Source organism: Homo sapiens, chromosome 10 (assembly GCF_000001405.40).
Source record: "Homo sapiens chromosome 10, GRCh38.p14 Primary Assembly".
In the NCBI taxonomy this organism is placed as follows: domain Eukaryota; kingdom Metazoa; phylum Chordata; class Mammalia; order Primates; family Hominidae; genus Homo; species Homo sapiens.
This window is the reverse complement of record NC_000010.11, coordinates 73,812,125-73,832,096: the sequence shown is the minus strand read 5'-3', so window position 1 is coordinate 73,832,096 and position 19,972 is coordinate 73,812,125. Positions and strand designations below refer to the sequence as shown.

General features: G+C 51.2%; 1 protein-coding gene across 78 annotated transcripts in view, besides 4 other annotated features; it reads left to right on the top strand.

Moving 5' to 3' along the window:
* Positions 1 to 19,596, top strand: part of CAMK2G (calcium/calmodulin dependent protein kinase II gamma) — a 62,055-nt gene extending 42,459 nt beyond the window's left edge. For 7 of the 78 annotated variants that reach the window (NR_160044.1, NR_160046.1, NM_001367532.1 and 4 more), the window contains 7 exons: positions 6,750 to 6,818; positions 8,013 to 8,057; positions 10,367 to 10,415; positions 14,543 to 14,618; positions 14,980 to 15,074; positions 16,850 to 17,094; positions 17,592 to 19,596. Coding sequence is in view for 56 of the 78 variants with exons in the window: in NM_001367532.1 (NP_001354461.1) it covers positions 6,750 to 6,818; positions 8,013 to 8,057; positions 10,367 to 10,415; positions 14,543 to 14,618; positions 14,980 to 15,074; positions 16,850 to 17,082 (567 nt within the window). In the remaining 22 variants the exon portion in view is untranslated. Of the gene's footprint in view, positions 1 to 3,975; positions 4,009 to 6,749; positions 6,819 to 8,012; positions 8,058 to 10,366; positions 10,416 to 12,451; positions 12,566 to 13,201; positions 13,889 to 14,542; positions 14,619 to 14,979; positions 16,231 to 16,849; positions 17,095 to 17,591 lie in introns of those variants that run through there. The other 71 variants (XM_047425799.1, XM_047425797.1, XM_006717996.2 and 68 more) reach the window with 38 other exon arrangements.
* Positions 2,020 to 2,220: a silencer, noted in NCBI's record as "peak1013 fragment used in MPRA reporter construct". NCBI's record gives its function as "represses an SCP1 promoter by STARR-seq MPRAs in K562 erythroleukemia cells {active_cell/tissue: K562}" and the evidence as "EXISTENCE:reporter gene assay evidence [ECO:0000049][PMID:32103011]".
* Positions 11,752 to 12,252: an enhancer, noted in NCBI's record as "H3K4me1 hESC enhancer chr10:75579603-75580103 (GRCh37/hg19 assembly coordinates)". NCBI's record gives its function as "activates a minimal SCP1, AML or CMV promoter by ChIP-STARR-seq in naive H9 embryonic stem cells {active_cell/tissue: H9 hESC(naive)}" and the evidence as "EXISTENCE:reporter gene assay evidence [ECO:0000049][PMID:30033119]".
* Positions 12,253 to 12,753: an enhancer, noted in NCBI's record as "H3K4me1 hESC enhancer chr10:75579102-75579602 (GRCh37/hg19 assembly coordinates)". NCBI's record gives its function as "activates a minimal SCP1, AML or CMV promoter by ChIP-STARR-seq in naive H9 embryonic stem cells {active_cell/tissue: H9 hESC(naive)}" and the evidence as "EXISTENCE:reporter gene assay evidence [ECO:0000049][PMID:30033119]".
* Positions 17,153 to 17,406: a silencer, noted in NCBI's record as "fragment chr10:75574449-75574702 (GRCh37/hg19 assembly coordinates)". NCBI's record gives its function as "represses an EF-1alpha promoter that drives an FKBP-Casp9 reporter gene in an ReSE screen in HepG2 liver carcinoma cells {active_cell/tissue: HepG2}" and the evidence as "EXISTENCE:reporter gene assay evidence [ECO:0000049][PMID:32094911]".

The following is a 19,972-nucleotide window of genomic DNA, read 5'->3' as shown; positions in this document are numbered from 1 at the left end:
CAGAATTTTTTTTAAATACTATTTTTTTTTTAAAGTAAAGCATAATACCAGGTGTGGCAACTCATGCCTGGTAATCCCAGCTACTTGGGAGGCTGAGGTGGGAGGATTGCTTGAGCCCAGGAGGTTCAGCCTGGGCAACATAAGCAAGACTCCATCTCAATTAAAAAAAAAAGAAAAGAGGTAAGACATGTGCTTGTATTATTATATCTTATAATGATATCTTTTTTTTTGTTTTTTGAGACAGGGTCTCACTCTGTCCCCCTGGCTGGAGTGTAGTGGTGTGATCTTGGCTCACTGCAACCTCCGCCTCCCGGGCTCAAGTGATTCTTCCACCTCAGCCTCCTGAGTAGCTGGGAATACGGGCATGTGCCACCACGCCCGGCTGATTTTTGTATTTTTAGTAGAGACGGGGTTGCCCAGGCTAGTCTTGAACTCCTGAGCTCAGGTGATCTGCCCGCCTCAACCTCCTGAAGTGCGGGGGTTACAGGCATGAGCCACCACGCCTGGCCTATAATGATATCTTAAAAGATTGCTTTCTTTTTTTTTTTTTTTTTTTTTTTTTAGACGGAGTCTCACTCTCACCCAGGCTGGAGTGCAATGGCATGGTCTTGGCTCACTGCAACCTCCGCCTCCCGGGTTCAAACAATTCTCCAACCTCAGCCTCCCAAGTAGCTGGGACTACAGGCGCGTGCCACCACACCCAGCTAATTTTTATATTTTTAGTAGAGACGGGGTTTTGCTATGTTGGCCAGGCTGGTCTCGATCTCCTGACCTTGTGATCCACCCGCCTCAGCCTCCCAAAGTGCTGGGATTACAGGCATGAACCACCGTGCCCGGCCAATTGCATTTTTTAAAAAGACTGGAAGATTGCTAGGAGTATTAGTGGTTTTCCCATGCCCCTTCTCTGTTTTCCAAATTGCTTGTATTGTGGCTGCAGTCCTTTTATAATATGAAACAGGTAAATAACAACTTATGTTGTGGCTGCATCAAAGGGGTGAGAAACGAAAAGGAGAGGACAAAGCAAGATGTGCAGAGTTCGACCTTTCCAGGCTCTCTCAAAGTCAAGGTTTTGATCAATGTTATGAGGGAGGCCTGTGAAGTAGCTCAGATGGTCTTGAGCTTTCAGCATCATGGATTCTTCTTTTAGATCCCATCTTCCCTTCCCAACTCCCCCTTCCTCAATTCCTACTGCTTAAGTGTCCATAGGGCGATTTCTTTTTCACTGTTCAGAAGCTTTCTGCAAGATGTTCAAAATACTAGCATTGGTTTGAGCAGCTAGTCTGTCTTGTGTTCTTGATTTGGGGGACTTAGCTTCTATTTAGATTTCTTTGAAGCTGGATGCCAGTGACCCAGGGTCTATGGAAGAGTAAGAGCCACTTGTGAGGATGACTGAAGAGGCCACAAACTCTCAGATCCTGAGAGTGTAGGACAACTTGTGCCTTCTGCTAGTCCCAGGCCAGAATGGCCATCCTATCTTTAAAAAAGAAAGCAAGCAAGAAAAACGAAAGGTTATAGTTATTTCCCTAAGTACTATTTGAATTATTTTGTTAAATTAAGTATGAGAAAGAGGTTTGAACGCTTTTCCAGCTTAAAATTTAAAATAAATATACAGTTTTTAAGTAAAAGTGAGATATGATTCTTTAGAAATCATCTGGCATTTAGCCAGGCATGGTGGTGTGCACCTGTAGTCCTAGCTACTCAGGTGGCTGAGGCAGGAAGATCCCTTGAGCCCAGGAGGTTGAGGCTGCAGTGAGCCATGATCATGCCAGTACTTCAGCCCGGGCAATAGAGCAAGACCTTATCTCTAAAAAAATAATAAAAAGACCTCACATTTAGACAATGTGGTAGTGTGCTGGTTCAGAAGGAGCCCAGCTATGCATGGCTAAGGGCAAATCCCTGAATGGAGAAGGAAATTGAAAAATGTTGACTAACCTGAGAAACAGTCTTTGGAAAAGGGTGATCTCAGGTTCTCATGCAGGACAATTTAGGAAAAAGAGAGCAAGCCAGGAGAAGGCTGAGAACTTATTCCCCATTAGTCAAAAATCTGCTTTAAGTCAAGATCCTGCAATGGCCTTTCACAACAAGCCCCTGAAAATCAGCAGAACAAAGACTGGGCCTGGTGAGTGAGTGCCTACGCAGAGTTCTTGCTGCCGTGATTCAGTGCAAGTTAGAAACCTGTGCTCTTCTTTAGCCTGGGGAAAAACCAAAGTCAGCAAACCCAGCTCAACTCAGCAAACTTTCGTCGCCTGTATGCTAACTATAAGGCATGTTGCTAGGTACTGTGGAAATTGTAAAGACACATAAGATAGGAACCTTCCTGAAAGCAGTAACACTTTAGTTGGGTAAAGGGATAAGGAGATATACACACACACACACACACACACACACACACACACCCCACTACTTATATATATGAATATAAGGGAACTCCTTCTTTTTGAGGGATGATTTTCGAAGTAAAATATCATATTTGAGCATATTTAAAAGGCCACTGTAAGGCTGTGTGCGGTGGCTCACGCTTGTAATCCCAGCACTTTGGGAGGCCGAGGTAGGTGGATCACCTGAGGTCAGGAATTCGAGACCAGCCTGGCCAACATGGCGAAACCAGTCTCTCTACTAAAAATACAAAAAAAAATCAGTGGGGCGTGGTGGCGGGCGCCTGTAATCCCAGCCACTCAGGAGGCTAAGGCAGGAGAATTGCTTGAACCAGGGAGGCGGAGGTTGCAGTGAGCCGAGATGGTGCCACTGCACTCCAGCCTGGGCAACAGAGTGAGACTCCCTAAAAATAAATAAATAAATAAATAAATAAATAAATAAATAAATAAATAAAAGGCCAATGTAAAAGAGGCCTAACTATATTTAGGTTTTTCTTTTCCTTTAAATCTAATTCTAAATTATGGACCATTGTCAATATTTGTAGCCTCTTTCGTTGATTATAATAATAATCCCTGAAAATGCCTTCTAAAGAATGCTGGCCGCTTGAGGGCAGGAGCAGTTTATCAGCTGTGTTTACCTGAAACAGCCCTCAGTGTTTGCTGGGCATTGTTAAATGAATGTGCAAAAGTTGAACGACAGACGGACATATTACAGGGGGACCTTACCCCCAGTGAGCTAATGATGACATTGATAATTACCCTTCATTTTTTAGACACAGTCTTCTGGGATATATTTTCAGTGTTCCACGTGGTCTTCATCTTGATGCGTCTGTTTCACATGTGAACGTAAAGTTCGTGAGCATCTAGTTGAGGCTGAGGAATCACTGCTTTCAACATTCCCTGTGGCTTACATCCCTGCATTTTTATGATCACTGTAGTTTTAATCACTGGCACTCCTGTGTTTCTATTTTCCACGAATTGCAAAATGCAATAAAAAATTCAAATATTGTAAACAAGCATGGCTATACTGACAAAGGAAGGCCAACATTTAACTGCTAGGTGATTTTCAAAAGCTCAGCATCTTTATGTAAAAAGCATAGTAGGGATGCAGCGAAGTCAGAAGTCAAATTTTATTAGAGCTGAGGAGAGCCTGTAGTAGCTTTTGCTTTTTCCCTGGTGGCTGCTCACTTGAATTTCAGACAGTTCTAGTAATGAGAGAAAATAAATAACATTACAGGGTGAGCTAACCCTATGAACCCAGACCTGTAAATTTGTAGCAAAATGATACTTAACCTCACAGACTTGTGTCTTAATCTCCTTAAGAGGCTTTTTTTGAGCAAGGCTGAGACATCTCAGAAGATACTAAATCTGTGTCTATGAACCTGACCACAAAAGAGTTCTTCCCTCCCAGGGTCTGGAGGGTGTGAGTGCCTGTCGGTCCGTGTGCTGTTTAACCCTCTGGTGCTGGACTCCGGGTCTCCCTCCGCTCTTTTCTCCCTGATGCAGAGCCCACACTGGTGCGCTAACCTGCAGCGTCTCTGTGCTTCTCTTCTTACCTCCTCTTTCCCCTTCTCTTTCCCTCTTGCTGTGGTGTGTCCAGAAAAGGAAGTCGAGTTCCAGCGTGCACCTAATGGTGAGCCTTGCCTGCCCACCCATCGCCCACTCCATGCTGCCTGTGCCCGCCTGCCAGCCACGCAAACCTGTTCTGCCACGTGCGTGTGCCTCACTCATCCTCACTGCATGTCTGTGCTGTGTGGGCAGGTGTGGCCTGTCCTGCCAGGCGGGGGCCATTGCCCAAGGTCACCCAGTAGCCTAAAAAGTGGACATTGGAAGGGGTGGTACGGCACCCCCTGCTGTGGAGCTTGGACAGACCCCAGCGACCCAGGGTAGGATGTGAAGCTGGTAGGGACTTGGGGCAAGCAAGGGAGAGACCCTCACTCTCTTGTCACCCAGAAGGAGAGGCCCTGCTTCCCAGGCATGAGGAGCTGCTTCCTACAGACTGGCAGCTGGAGGGCAACTGTGTGGTGGGCAGAGGAGCTGGTTGCAGGCTCCCACTTGTGAGTCTCGCTCTCCTGGCTCTGCCCCCGTGCAAATCCCATTCTCTCTAGCTGTGCCCAGTGGTTTATTCTGCCCACCCAGCCCTCGGGGGACAGCTAACTCATCTTTCTCACGGGACACTGGGCACCAAGGGCAACACAGCAGCCTGAGTCATTATGAAACCATCCATTAAAACCAGAGGTGGGGGCCGGGCGCGATGGCTCACGCCTGTAATCCTAGCACTTTGGGAGGCCGAGGCGGGTGGATCACAAGGTCAGGAGATCAAGACCATAACACGGTGAAACCCTGTCTCTACTAAAAATGCAAAAAATTAGCCAGGTGTGGTGGTGGGCGCCTGTAGTCCCAGCTACTCAGGAGGCTGAGGCAGGAGAATGGCGTGAACCCAGGAGGCGGAGCTTGCAGTGAGCCGAGATCGCGCCACTGCGCTCCAGCCTGGGCGACAGAGCTAGACTCCGTCTCAAAAAATAAATAAACCAGAGGTGGGGCCACTTGGGTGACATCCCAGCCCTCTGCAGGTTTTGTGGGCACCCTGGAGTCCTTGCCCCCTGTGAGGGTCTTGGCCTCAGCTGGGATTTACAGGTAGGGCAGCCCTCTCTAACCAACCCCGAACAGGTCAGCATCATTCACTGAGCTAGGTGGGCTTTGCTTCTTGGTGGGAATGAGAGACAGCAGAGCTCCCGTGAGTTTAGACCCACCGTCTCACTACTCCTGGGCCCCCTCTTCTCTAGCCTGTCGCAGTCTGTGGAGTCTTGTTCAGTGGAGTCACTTGGTGCCTGGCTTGAGGTTCCATGCCTAGCCCTGGGTTTGGGGATGTCTGAGCCATTGACAGCAAGCTGGCGGTGGACGGCTTCAGGTCTGGTCCAAGAGGCCTCCAGGCAAGAAGTAGGACAGTCAGGATGCTTTCTGTGTATGTCCTAGGAGAGAAGACACACATTCTAGCTGTCGATGTATCATCTGTGCCCTGTGCAGGGATGGTAGCCACACATTTGTCTCACTGCCTATTGAAGAACTTGCAGGCATCAGGCTGCTCCTCAGTGGCCCCCAACCCCACTGGAACTCAGTGAGATGGAGTACGCTGGTTAGGGAACTATCAGAGGCAAAGAACATCACATGGATATGGCTCCCTGCCCTGGAGATCAGCCTTCTTCCTTTCTTCCATCTTCCCCTTGCCCCTCCCTTGCTGTGCCCCTCCGTGTAATGTTTTTGTTTGTTCGTTTGCTTTTGGTTTTTTGAGATGGAGTCTTGCTCTGTTGCCCAGGCTGGAGTGCAGTGGTGCAATCTTGGCTCACTGCAATCTCTGCCTCCCAGGTTCAAGCAATTCTCTTGTCTCAGCCTCCCGAGTAGCTGGGATTACAGGCATGTGCCACCATGCCCGGCTAATTTTTGTATTTTTAGTAGAGACGGGGTTTCACCATGTTGGCCAGGCTGGTCTTGAACTCCTGACCTCAGGTGATCCACCCGCCTTGGCCTCCCAAAGTGCTGAGATTACAGGTGTGAGCCACCGTGCCCACCCACCACCATGTAGTTTTGAAAGGCAAGGAGATATCCCTGGTGGTCATGGTGCTGTTGGGAATGTTGGCCTGTGTGTGGCCTACTCTGTCCTGGGGGCTGGATTCTGGGACTACAGCTACAGCCCCGCTGGGTTTCACCTGCCCCTCCCCGGAACACTGCCCTTCTAGCTGATCAGGCCTAAGATTTGTCAGACAAAAAGGTGAACAGCACAGTCCTGACTCTGCTCCCTGAGGTCAGTGAATGCATTTTGTGTCTGAAAGGGACTTCCACCCCCATCCTCTGGACACCATCTCTTAGGCCAGGCATACTTTTCTTTTCTCCTTCCTCTTTGTTTCAGGCTTCGAGCTGGTGTTGTAAGAAGGAAATACAGGTGCTGGGTTGAAAGTGCAGCAGGAGACTGCCCACAGATAGGGGACCAGAGTTTCTGAATTTTGTTCTGCTTTCTTATAAACTACCCCCCTTTTTCCTGTACAGTGGGAAGAAGATCTTGAACTTCTTTGGGTCAGGTGTGGATTTTGCAATGACCTGGCACCTGGCATAAGCAGAGATTTCTGGAGGGATGCTTTAAAACAAGGCTTTGGGCTGGTCCCACCTTGAGGGTGCCCCCAGAGCTAGGTCTCTGGGCCCCACAAATACTTCCTCTGATCATCTCTCTAGCCATCGCTCCCATCTACACAGCGTTATGGAGGCCACCTCAGGCCTACCTCCTCCAGGCCAGACCAGGGGGCAAGGGAGGTCTGGGAGTTGAACCTGAGTGGCCTTGGGGACTCTGGAGGAACTAAACCATCTGTTTTCTTGTCTCAGCCACAGAGCAACAACAAAAACAGTCTCGTAAGCCCAGCCCAAGAGCCCGCGCCCTTGCAGACGGCCATGGTACCTCCTGACTACAGCTTCTCCGCCTCTGACCCTGGCTGCCTCCTGCCCCTTCCCTCTTCCTCCTCTTGTGCCCCCTCCCTGGCCTCCTGGCCTGTTCCTTTCTTGGTCCCCATAGAACTGACTGCTTTGTGTGCCGCCCTGTATGCCCCTTCCCCTTCATTGTCCCGCCTGGCCGCGCTCCATCCCGCATGGCAGAAGTGCTGCTCCTGCTCCTGCTCCTTTCGCTGGTGGGGGGAAGAGTGATCAGGGCTCTCAGCTGAACCTCCCAGGCCCAGCCCAGGACCCCTAGTGGGTCTGCTGTGGGGGCTGGGAAGGTGAGTTGCTTAGGAAAGGAGAGGGTAGGAGCTTTCTTGGGACCTGAACATCAGTTCTTGGAGGCCCCCTTGTAAAACCTGCCTCAGCCTCTCCTTTGCAAAGCCAGAAACAGGAAAGAGGGCTGGGGTCCCCACCTCTGGATGGTGCTGAGGTCTCCAGGCTCCTGGAGTGCCTCATGCTGGCTAAGTTCTCTCTGGGCTCCTCCAGGGGTTCTGTGTGCTCTTGGAGGTCCCTCTGCTAGTGGTGGCTAACTAGAGAGTCAGCAGGGGGGTGACTGGGAAAGAGGGAGAGGTGATGTTGCCTGCTACTCCCCTCCTTGCGGACCCTCATACCACATGACGTGGCGGCGTGGGGCCAGGAACTAGGGAAGGCAGAAGGCGGGCGCAGTGGGCAGCTCTCTGGGCTCAGCTTGCTGAGGGGGCCTCCTGTCCTGGCTCTTTCTGGGAGACCTCATTCTTCTGCCCATGTTCCTGCCTCACACATTCCCCGTGATGAACGCTGTGGGCGGGGCCCGGCCTGTGCCCTCAGTCCCACAGCTCCTCTAGTGTACCTGCCCCGTGGGAACCCCATGTGGAAAGAGCCCTCAGAACTGACAGGAATCAGGGACAGAGGCCCTTGCTGTCAGCCTCCTGGGCACCTGCACCTGCCAGGCCTCTCTTTCTTACCAGCCCAGTGCTGCTGCCAAAATCCAGGGCTATCCCAGCTGCCCGGGACCCCAGTTGAGCCGGGATATTTTGTCTTCTGGAGATGGCTGGTGGGCAGGCCTCAGTGGTCATCATAGGGTCTGCGGGGGTCCTGGGGTGCAGGTGGGGCTCCTCAGGGAAGAGCCATAGTCTGTCCCCAAGTCGGAAGGGTAATCTTCATCTTCTCTCACAGGAGCCACAAACCACTGTGGTACACAACGCTACAGATGGGATCAAGGTGAGTGGCTCCTGAGCCTGCCTCCTGCTTTCCAGGTCAGCAGGAGACAGGTGGGCTGGGTCCCAGGGGTCTACAGGCTGCACCCTGAGGCCAAGGTGTTTGCAGAGGCTCAGCTGAAGGTAGCCTGTGCCCACAGTTGCTCCATGCTGAGGAAGGGCATTATACCTTACAGAGCTCAGGCTTTGCAGTCAGACAGACCTGGTCTGAATCCTGGCCCTGCACCTTAGTATCCTTTATCTGCAAATTGGGGATGATAATAATAGAATCTTCCTCCATATGTCGGAAGTTTAAATGAGAGTAAACGTTCACTGAAAAAATAGGCAAGAGTATCTCCAGACCCTGGAGCGTTCTCCATGGCCTGACCCCTTTGTGCCCTTGATGTTTTCACCAGCATTCCTGAACATCTGTTAAGCCCAGATACCATCCATGGCTCTGGCTTACAGAGGTGACAAGACAAATTATCTGTTCAAACGGTGGGTGGGATGGGAGGCAGATAAAAAACCAATAAGCAAACAGATAAGATAAGCTGGGCACCGTGGCTCACACCTGTAATCCTCACACTTTGGGAGGCCAAGGTGCGCAGATCGCCTGAGCTCAGGAGTTAGAGACCACCTTGGGCAACATGGTGAAACCCTGTCTCTACTAAAATACAAAAAAGTAGGCAGGTGTGGTGGCGCGTGCCTGTAGTCCCAGCTACTTGGGAGGCTGAGGCACGATAATTGCTTGAGCCTGGGAGGTGGAGGTTGCAGTGAGCTGAGATCACGCCACTGCACTCCAGCTTGGGCTACGCAGTGAGACTTAATCTCTCAAAAAAAATAAATAAGATAAAATCTAATGTCAATAGGTAATCTGAAGAAAATGGCAGAAAGTAGAGAGAGGGCCAGGTGCGGTGGCTCATGCCTGTAATCCTAGCACTTTGGGAGGCCAAGGCGGGCGGATCACTTGAGGTCAGGAGTTCAAAACCAGCCTGGCCAACATGGCAAAACCCCATCTCTACTAAAGATACAGAAATTACCTGGGGATGGTGGCACATGCCTGTAATCCCAGCTACCTGGGAGGCTGAGGCAGGAGAATCGCTTGAACCTGGGAGGCGGAGGTTGCAGTGAGCTGAAATCGTGCCACTGCACTTCAGCCTGGGCGACAGAGCAAGACTCCATCTAAAAAATGAAAAACAGAAAAACCTCACCAAACTAGACAGAGAGAACAGGGCCTTGAATTAAGTAGTCAGGAGAGGGCTTCTTTCAGGAGGTGATATCTGAGCTAGAAACTGAATGGTGGGTGGGAAGGAGGCAGCCAGGCCAGCTCTGAGGCTGAGTGCCCTAAGCAGAAGGAACTGAAGCTCAGATGTGGCCTTTGTAATCAAGCAGAGGGAAGAGCAAAGTGAGACGGGGAGAACCATAGGAGAGTGATGAGGTTGGAGAAGCAGCAGGGCCTGCTACAGAGGCCCTTGTAGGAGTTTGCATTTTCTTCCAGCAGCAAGGAGAAGCTATTGGGAGTTCTTAGCAGGAGTAACAGAATCTAGTTGACACTTTAAAACACCACTCTGGCCTCATGATCAAGAACTCTAGGGAGGCCCGGGCGTGGTGGCTCACGCCCGTAATCCCTGCACTTTGGAAGGCCGAGGCGAGTGGATCAGCAAAGGTCAGGAGCTCGAGACCAGCCTGGCCAACATGATGAAACCCCATCTCTAATAAAAATACAAAAATTAGCCAGGCATGGTGGCAGGCACCTGTAATCCCAGCTACTCAGGAGGCTGAGACAGGAGAATCACTTGAACCCGGGAGGCAGAGGTTGCAGTGAGCCGAGATCATGCCATTGCACTCCAGCCTGTGCAACAAGAGCAAAACTCTGTTTCAAAAAAGAAAAACTCTAGGGAGGAGGTAAGTGTGGAAGTTAGGGAGACCATGAAGCTGTTATCATGGTTCAGGTGTGAGATGCTGGTGGCCTGGAGTCAGGTTGTAGCTGTGCATTGGAAGTGAAGAGGTAAGACATGGGGTTTACTTTGGAGGCAGAACCAGAAGATTTTATTTTAGATTGGGCGATCTGAATATAAGGGAAAAAGAGAAAGAGAAGGATTGAGGATGACTCCAGGTTTTAGCCTGAGTAACTGGGTAGATGGTGGCATTTACCAACTGGGGGAAGACTAGGGAGGGGATTTGGGAAGAGTCAGACAGCCAGGGTGGAAGCAGAACCTTCCACAATTCCTCCTTGCACCTCTTGTAGGAGCAGAAACTCTGCTTTTGTTCTGCTTTGCTCCTCTGGCTTCCAAGGGATGGAGCATATAGAAACATGTTCTTTTTGGCCTACAGGGCTCCACAGAGAGCTGCAACACCACCACAGAAGATGAGGACCTCAAAGGTAGGTGCTGGCCCTTGGAGGGGGAAGGACTCCAGCAGTGACCCAGGTACCTGGGCTCCAATGGGGCACCTGCCTTTTCTGTCCCCAGAACTGGGAATGCTGGCTCCTATGCCCCTAGGAGAGGGCTTGGTATAAAAGCTACTTTCCACGAGCCAAGATATGAGGCCCCTGTCTGGTGTTGCTGAGTTGGGCAAGAGGCTTCTCTTCTTTGACCCCAAGTCTAAAATAGCTAAGCTAGAGATTCTCCAGGGGCCAGGGCTCAGAGAACTGTTCCTGTTGCTGATAATGATGTGCCATCCAAGAACAGGGGTACCCCAAGTCCCTGCCGAAGTAGCCTGTAAGTGCTATGAGTCATAAATAGAGTGACCAATCACTCCTGGTTTTCCTCGGACACAGAACTTTTGGTTTTAAGACTGTGATGGGCCAGGAGTGCTGGCTCACACCTGTAATACCCAGAACTTTGGGAGGGCCAGGGCAGAAGGATTGCTTGAGACCAGGAGTTTGAGACAAGCTTGGGCAACATAGCAAGACCTTGTCTCTATTAAAAAAAAAAAATTAGGAACAAATAAATAGGCCAGGTGCGGTGACTCACACCTGTAATCCCCACACTTTGGGAGGCCGAGGCAAGTGGATCACTTGAGGTCAGGAGTTCAAAACCAGCCTGGCCAACATGATGAAACCCCGTCTCTACTAAAAATACAAAAAAAGGCCGGGCGTAGTGGCTCACGCCTGTAATCCCAACACTTTGGGAGGCCAAGGTGGGTGGATCACCTGAAGGTCAGAAGTTCAAGACCAGCCTGGCCAACATGGTGAAACTCCATCTCTACTAAAAATATAAAAAATTAGCCAGGTGTGGTGGCAGGTGCCTGTAATCGTAGCTACTCGGGAGGCGGAGGTGGGAGAATCGCTTGAACCTGGGAGGTGGAGGTTGCAGTGAGCCGAGATCACCCCATTGCACTCCAGCCTGGGCAACAAGAGCGAAACTTCTTCTCAAAAAAAAAAAAAAAAAAAAAAAAAATTAGCCGGGTGTGGTGGCGGGGTCCTGTAATCCCAGCTACTCGGGAGACTGAGGCATGAAAATGGCTTGAACCCGGGAGGTGGAGGTTGCAGTGAGCTGAGATTGCACCACTGCACTCCAGCCTGGGTGACAGAGCGAGACTCTGTCTCAAGAAAAAAAAAAAAAAAAAAATATATATATATATATATATATATATATAAATATAAAACCCAGATAGTCCTGGGAACACTGGGATGAGTTGGTCACTCTAGTCCTAAGATTTTGGCCTGAATGATGGAGTTGGAACTAATCTGACAACCGTGAGGCCACATTTGGTCATGTCCTGGTGGGCCCGTAAGGACCACTAGCCTAAGCTTGGGCCTGGCTAGAGTGCCAGGGCGGTGGGAGGGCATGGCAGGCTGGACCCCCGGGAATCTCTGTCCTGCTCTTTGATTGGGCCTCCTGGAATTGCTCCCTTTGCCTGAATTCAGTAAGTGACCTTGGGCCAGGACATCAGAAAAGACAGAGGAACACTCTAGGACAGAGCTGGGAGAGCATGCCCTGGGTGGCAAGGGGGCACCAAACCTTTTGGAACCAAAAAAAATAGCAGAAAGCTGCGAGGAAGTGAATCATAGTAGCTCCAGGCCCCTGTGAGTGAGGTCAGATCAGTTTTGATTCCGGCACTGCTGGCAACATAGGAGGCGCTGTCACTGCTGGGCTCTGGACCCTGTGGCCTGGCCCCCTGGAACATCTTCCCCGGGATCAGGGGTCCTTGGACAGGCTGTTGTAAGGCTCGTCTGGAAGCCACAGCCCAGGTCTGGGCACCTGCCTGGTGCCCTCAGCTGGGAGGCCTCTCTGGCAGAGGCGGCGGCGTGGGATGTCGTCCAGTGTCCACAGCAGCCTGAGGCGAGGCGTCCCCTTGCCCCGGCTCTGCAGCGCCATGGGCTCGGGGCCTGTCTGGCTTGCTCGCTCACCTGCCTTGTTCTGTTTGTTTTGGCTGCTCTGCCTTGCCCTGCCCTGCCCTGCCCTGGCTGGCTAGCTGCCCCGCTCCGCACTGGGAATGGCAGCTCGGTGCCTGAAGGACGGAGCTCCCGGGACAGAACAGCCCCCTCTGCAGGCATGCAGCCCCAGCCTTCTCTCTGCTCCTCAGCCAGTAAGTGTGAGGGAGGCACATTCTGGCTTCCGTCTCCCTGGCTCGTCCTGAAGCCCCTCAGGGACCCCCACCACAGCTGTCAGTCCCACCCACCTGCCCGTGGTAGTAAGCTCTGGGAGCATGGCCTCTGCTGGGGGTGGGGGGTAGACTGGAGGTGCTGTTGAGACCAGGCAGGGGCCCCTGAGTCTGGGGCCCAAAGAAATATGAGAAGTGTGGGTGGAAAAACATGGCCTGGGATGAGGGGAGTAGAAAGCCCCCAGGATGTGCAGTGGGCCTTGCCTCAGCGCTGAGCCAGGAAGAAGGGCAGAGTCGGAAGTCAGGTCTGTGGGGGTGGGAGTGGGATGATGGGGAAATCGTGACAGCGAGGAACTGTGTTGGGGATGTAGTGCTTCCTGAGTCTCAGCATAACAGTATTAAGAGCATGGGGTCAGAGGCAAGATAGATCTGAGTTTAAATCCCAGCTACACTGCCTTCAAGAGTGTGAAGTTTAACCTCCCAGAGCTGCAGGTTCCTTATCTGTAATGTGGAAATAAAATGGCACGCACCTCAGAGCCTTGTTAGATAAAAGACAAGGCAGTAGGAAGTCTTGATACGGTGCCTCGATGGGTTATCAGTAGCTCATCCTCATATTTCTAGTTACGTCTGTGCTGGAGGATGCCTTTGTCTGCTGCTTTTCCTCCCACCATCTATCCTTGCAGAGTTTCTAAGCACAACCCTCTTCGCCCGTGGGGCCCCAGTCAGGTCATCCAGATGGGTCTGGTGGGGTTGGAGAGGGTGTGTGTGTTGTGGGTGCACACCTGCCTGCTGCTTTTGGAAGCCGATCGAACTCCTTGCTTCCCTTAACCTGCTGCTTGCTCACCTGGAGCTGTGGCCTAGCGGGGCTGACGGCTGTGGGGCCCCCTCCTGGATGTGCCTTTGGCTGCGCTGCCCTGTCCCAACTGTGCTGCTTGGCTGTGCTGGCCCGGCTGGGCCGTGGTGGTGCTGTTCTAACGCTTGCAGTTGTCTTGCAGCCTTTTGCTCCTGTGAGGAAAGGGTTGTGGCCTGGCCCCGCCCAGGGCTCGGGTTAGGATGAGCCCAAGCTCAACCCAAGCTCTCCCTTACCCTGGTGGCAGCCCCTGCTGGTAGTGGCATTCCCTATAAGAGAAGCCCATGCCGGCAGGACATCACCAGCTGTCCCTTGGCTTTGGATGGGTTGGGGAGGAGGCCTCTGGAGGGCACCACCTCTGCCTGCCTGTCAGTCTGAGCCCTGTCTGGTTTTCCTGAGGAACACGTCCTGGCAATGAGAGCTGGTGTGAAATGTGCAGCTTTCCCAAGCCTCGAGAGGTAAATGGAGCAGCCTCTCTGGTACAGGCTGTCCCAAGTTTTTACAGTTCTGGGATCATTTCTCCCAGAAAAGCCCTGTGGAGTTGAGCAGTGGGAAGCATCCATCCTAGGGTTCTGATGGTCCTTTGGCACCCCAGCCCTAGCTGGATTCTGCTGTCAGGCTACCTGTCACCCAGGGCTGGGTCCTGGCCACTGAATGAGGGCTACGAGTGGGGGTGGTGATTGAGACCTGACTGAGCCCCTTCAGGTGAGAGAAGTAAATTGGGGGTGGAAGCGGCCTTATTGGGAGATGCTTGTGAGAGAGGCTGCTCATACAGGGGAGGGGCTCACAGCATTCACGATGTACCAGGCTCCTCACCTGTTAAAGGCAAGCGTGTTTTCTGCAACCTGGTTGTTGATGGAAAGGGAGGCAAAGGCCAAAGAACCATAACTAATGGCTGGGCTTCAGGAGAAAGTGGTCATTGTCTCTGCAGACTGCAGAGAGGGAGACGGGAGGGAAGGTGTGTTCGCTCTTCCTGCCAAGGGCCCTAGAGACAGAGAAGAGGGATGTCTTTGTCATAAGCGATCACAGGGGACTCCTGAGGACTGGGGAGGGCTCTCTGTAACTTGGGAGGTTCCCCAGTAGGTAAATTGATGGATTTTTCTCCCCCACAGTGCGAAAACAGGAGATCATTAAGATTACAGAACAGCTGATTGAAGCCATCAACAATGGGGACTTTGAGGCCTACACGTAAGTAGAGACCCATTTTTTTTTGTGACCTAAGTCATCTCCCAAGGCCTTCCCTGCTTCCAGACAACAATTAGGACCCTGGGGAAAGGGAGGTTGGACCTTGGGCAAAGTATCTGAGTTAAGCCCTCTCCTAAACTGGGAGCCCTTCCAGGTAGATTCCCTGAGCTCACCCATGGTATCCTGGCAGTGGGCCGAAAGCACAGGGCTGAGTGGCTCAGCAGGCAGGCCTGGAAGATCTTTGCTGTCTTGTCTGGCATGGCCACAGGTAGCCTGCTGCTACTGGATAGACACCGCTGATAAGGAAGGAAGACAAGTCACTCCATAGAAGCCTGATAGGCTGCTTTTTTTTTTCTCCCTGTAGGAAGATTTGTGATCCAGGCCTCACTTCCTTTGAGCCTGAGGCCCTTGGTAACCTCGTGGAGGGGATGGATTTCCATAAGTTTTACTTTGAGAATCGTGAGTGGGTTCGTGCTGCTGATATACTCCTGCCTGCCCCTTTACCCCTTTGTCTCTGTCTCCTGCTCACCTTCTCATCCCAGTTGCCCACTTTTCCCTTATTTGACCTTCGTGCTGCACTCCTACTCTGTATGCTTGTCCCCTTGTGCCCCGATGGTTGTAGACAGGCACCTTTGAAGGCCCTGCTCCTGAGCTCCAAGTGCCATTCATTCTGCAGCTGCTTTGTGGCAGTGCCAGTCACCACAATCAAGCTCACTTATTTCTTGCCGGGCGCGGTGGCTTACGCCTGTAATCCCAACACTTTGGGAGGCTGAGGCTGGCGGATCACGAGGTCAGGAGATCGAGGCCATCCTGGCTAACACGGTGAAACCCCATCTCTACTAAAAATACAAAAAATTAGCCGGGCGTGGTGGCGGTGCCTGTAGTCCCAGCTACTCGGGTGGCTGAGGCAGGAGAATGATGTGAACCTGGGAGGCAGAGCTTGCAGTGAGCCAAGATCAGGCCACTGCACTCCAGCCTGGGCAACAGAGCAAGACTCCATCTCAAAAAAAAAGAAAAAATTATTTAAGCCTCACCTCTTTCCAAGACGGATTGGAAGGAAACCCTTTGAGATTAGGTTGAGATGATCTCAGCACATAAGAACTAAGCTCTGTGTCTGCAGGTTTCACAATAGAGGAAATTAAAACCAGGATAAGAATGTGCAAACCAGGGCACTGTTGGTGATTTGCGAGATCGGAAGTTGTGGCTAGAATCTTCCTGACTATGGAGGAAGGCAGACGTCTTGTATAGGGGGTGGGGTGTACATTCTGGACAGTTCATGGAAAATAAGGGGATAAGAAGCTGAATCATCACCCCCTCCCATCTTTCTCTCTGCTCTATGAGACCCTCCCCTTCCTTATTTTTATCTCTTCCCACTTTATGCTGGGCCTTCCCTATCCTGCCCTGAGTTATAGTTAGTCACTAACTTCTCCGCTGGCTCCCACCCTTATCACATCTCAGCTACATATATAAACTCTCTGTTATCTAAGTAATTCTATTAGCCAGAAGCAATTCCAGAGTTTATATTAGTACTAGGAAGGTGTCATGTAGCCCCTGTCTAACATTTGAATTGAACTAAAATGTGAATCTCAATAAAAGCAACACAGTTTTCACAGCATATGCTGATAATGGCAATCCAACTTCTTTTGCCTTTTCCCCAGAGAATCCTGGGAATATCCTGAGCTTGGTGCTTTGATGATTCTATTTCAGCTTTGGTGCCTTAAAAAAAATTACAAATCAATTTTGAATGGTTTAAGTTCATGATTTTGTTCTGCAGCCCTAGCTAGGGGTGAGCCAAGCCTTATGAAATCTAAACTCAGCCTAACAGAATAGAAAATCTATAGGCTTTAGTTAAGAGTCACATGGTCCTGAGTTCAGGTGTGTGATTTGAGCAAATTATTCCTTGAGCCTATTTCCTCATCTTATAATGAAGAAAATATTATCCACCAAGAAATACAGCTCGGGCATGTAAAACCCCAGCACAATGCCTGATTAAAAGCGCAGCAGGTACTGTCACTGTTACCCATCTTTCTGTTCCTTTTGGATAAAGGAGACTAATGTAATGTGGCATCCTGGCCTCTGGAGGGCGTTCAGGGGTTCGGGGGTGGGGGGGGGCGGTACTTGGAGATTCTGGGAGTGGTTGCTTGGGAGATGGTAAGACTTGGAAGTGCAGGCTGGGAGGAAAATGCAGGTGCCCAGGCCTGATGTCCTCTTACCTACCCCACCCTGCCCTGCAGTCCTGTCCAAGAACAGCAAGCCTATCCATACCACCATCCTAAACCCACACGTCCACGTGATTGGGGAGGACGCAGCGTGCATCGCCTACATCCGCCTCACCCAGTACATCGACGGGCAGGGTCGGCCTCGCACCAGCCAGTCAGAAGAGACCCGGGTCTGGCACCGTCGGGATGGCAAGTGGCTCAATGTCCACTATCACTGCTCAGGGGCCCCTGCCGCACCGCTGCAGTGAGCTCAGCCACAGGTGCACCTGGTTGACGGGGGAGAGGGGCTGGAAGGGCCTGGGATAGGTGGGGTCAGAGGAAGAAGAGAAGGCTGGGAGGTGGTCCTGGGAGAGGAGGTGTGGGCCGTCCCAGAGGACTGGCAAAGCCTGGCAGAATGGTTGCAATAAGTTATGCTTGGAAATCAGACAGACTAGGGTCTGGCTCCGTGACTCCAAATTGGATGACCTCAGACAGGTTACTTCCCCTCCCTAAACTGTTTCCTTAGCTGTCAAAGAAAGGCAGAGAGTGGTGCCTACCTCATTTAATCATTGTGAGGATTAAGTAAGATACTATAAGTAAAGCACTTAGTTAGTGCTTAGCAAATGGGAGGCAGTTTTGTATTTAAGCATTAGCTTCACCCACTTTCCCCACCTTCTCAGGCCGACTTGGCCATGTGTTTAGCGTGCTAAAGTCGCTGGAACTCATCTGTGTGCTCATTGTCCTCTGTTCTGTTACCACATTCTGTCCTGTTTGACAGGGGCTTTAGGAGATTCCAGCCGGAGGTCCAACCTTCGCAGCCAGTGGCTCTGGAGGGCCTGAGTGACAGCGGCAGTCCTGTTTGTTTGAGGTTTAAAACAATTCAATTACAAAAGCGGCAGCAGCCAATGCACGCCCCTGCATGCAGCCCTCCCGCCCGCCCTTCGTGTCTGTCTCTGCTGTACCGAGGTGTTTTTTACATTTAAGAAAAAAAAAAAAGAAAAAAAGATTGTTTAAAAAAAAAAGGAATCCATACCATGATGCGTTTTAAAACCACCGACAGCCCTTGGGTTGGCAAGAAGGCAGGAGTATGTATGAGGTCCATCCTGGCATGAGCAGTGGCTCACCCACCGGCCTTGAAGAGGTGAGCTTGGCCTCTCTGGTCCCCATGGACTTAGGGGGACCAGGCAAGAACTCTGACAGAGCTTTGGGGGCCGTGATGTGATTGCAGCTCCTGAGGTGGCCTGCTTACCCCAGGTCTAGGAATGAACTTCTTTGGAACTTGCATAGGCGCCTAGAATGGGGCTGATGAGAACATCGTGACCATCAGACCTACTTGGGAGAGAACGCAGAGCTCCCAGCCTGCTGTGGAGGCAGCTGAGAAGTGGTGGCCTCAGGACTGAGAGCCCGGACGTTGCTGTACTGTCTTGTTTAGTGTAGAAGGGAAGAGAATTGGTGCTGCAGAAGTGTACCCGCCATGAAGCCGATGAGAAACCTCGTGTTAGTCTGACATGCACTCACTCATCCATTTCTATAGGATGCACAATGCATGTGGGCCCTAATATTGAGGCCTTATCCCTGCAGCTAGGAGGGGGAGGGGTTGTTGCTGCTTTGCTTCGTGTTTTCTTCTAACCTGGCAAGGAGAGAGCCAGGCCCTGGTCAGGGCTCCCGTGCCGCCTTTGGCGGTTCTGTTTCTGTGCTGATCTGGACCATCTTTGTCTTGCCTTTTCACGGTAGTGGTCCCCATGCTGACCCTCATCTGGGCCTGGGCCCTCTGCCAAGTGCCCCTGTGGGATGGGAGGAGTGAGGCAGTGGGAGAAGAGGTGGTGGTCGTTTCTATGCATTCAGGCTGCCTTTGGGGCTGCCTCCCTTCTTATTCTTCCTTGCTGCACGTCCATCTCTTTTCCTGTCTTTGAGATTGACCTGACTGCTCTGGCAAGAAGAAGAGGTGTCCTTACAGAGGCCTCTTTACTGACCAACTGAAGTATAGACTTACTGCTGGACAATCTGCATGGGCATCACCCCTCCCCGCATGTAACCCAAAAGAGGTGTCCAGAGCCAAGGCTTCTACCTTCATTGTCCCTCTCTGTGCTCAAGGAGTTCCATTCCAGGAGGAAGAGATCTATACCCTAAGCAGATAGCAAAGAAGATAATGGAGGAGCAATTGGTCATGGCCTTGGTTTCCCTCAAAACAACGCTGCAGATTTATCTGCACAAACATCTCCACTTTTGGGGGAAAGGTGGGTAGATTCCAGTTCCCTGGACTACCTTCAGGAGGCACGAGAGCTGGGAGAAGAGGCAAAGCTACAGGTTTACTTGGGAGCCAGCTGAGAAGAGAGCAGACTCACAGGTGCTGGTGCTTGGATTTAGCCAGGCTCCTCCGAGCACCTCATGCATGTCCCAGCCCCTGGGCCCTAGCCCTTTCCTGCCCTGCAGTCTGCAGTGCCAGCACGCAAATCCCTTCACCACAGGGTTTCGTTTTGCTGGCTTGAAGACAAATGGTCTTAGAATTCATTGAGACCCATAGCTTCATATGGCTGCTCCAGCCCCACTTCTTAGCATTCTTACTCCTCTTCTGGGGCTAATGTCAGCATCTATAGACAATAGACTATTAAAAAATCACCTTTTAAACAAGAAACGGAAGGCATTTGATGCAGAATTTTTGCATGACAACATAGAAATAATTTAAAAATAGTGTTTGTTCTGAATGTTGGTAGACCCTTCATAGCTTTGTTACAATGAAACCTTGAACTGAAAATATTTAATAAAATAACCTTTAAACAGTCCATTGTGTTACTGCTGTTGGAGGTTTACGGCCAGAGGCGTAGATTTTAGCAGCCTGGCTTACCAGGTTGGAGAGAGTACCTCCTCCTACTCCCTTTGGGTACTTTTGAGAATAAAACTTCCTCATGCCTGTAATCCCAGTACTTTGGGAGGCCGACGCGGGCGAATCACGAGGTCAGGAGTTCGAGACCAGCCTGGCTAATATGGTGAAACCCCGTCTCTACTAAAAAATACAAAAAATTTAGCTGGGCATAGTGGCGGGCGCCTGTAATCCCAGCTGCTCGGAAGGCTGAGGCAGGAGAATCGCTTGAACCTGGGAGGGGGAGGTTGCAGTGAGCCGAGGTCGCGCCACTGCACTCCAGCCCAGGCGACAGAGTG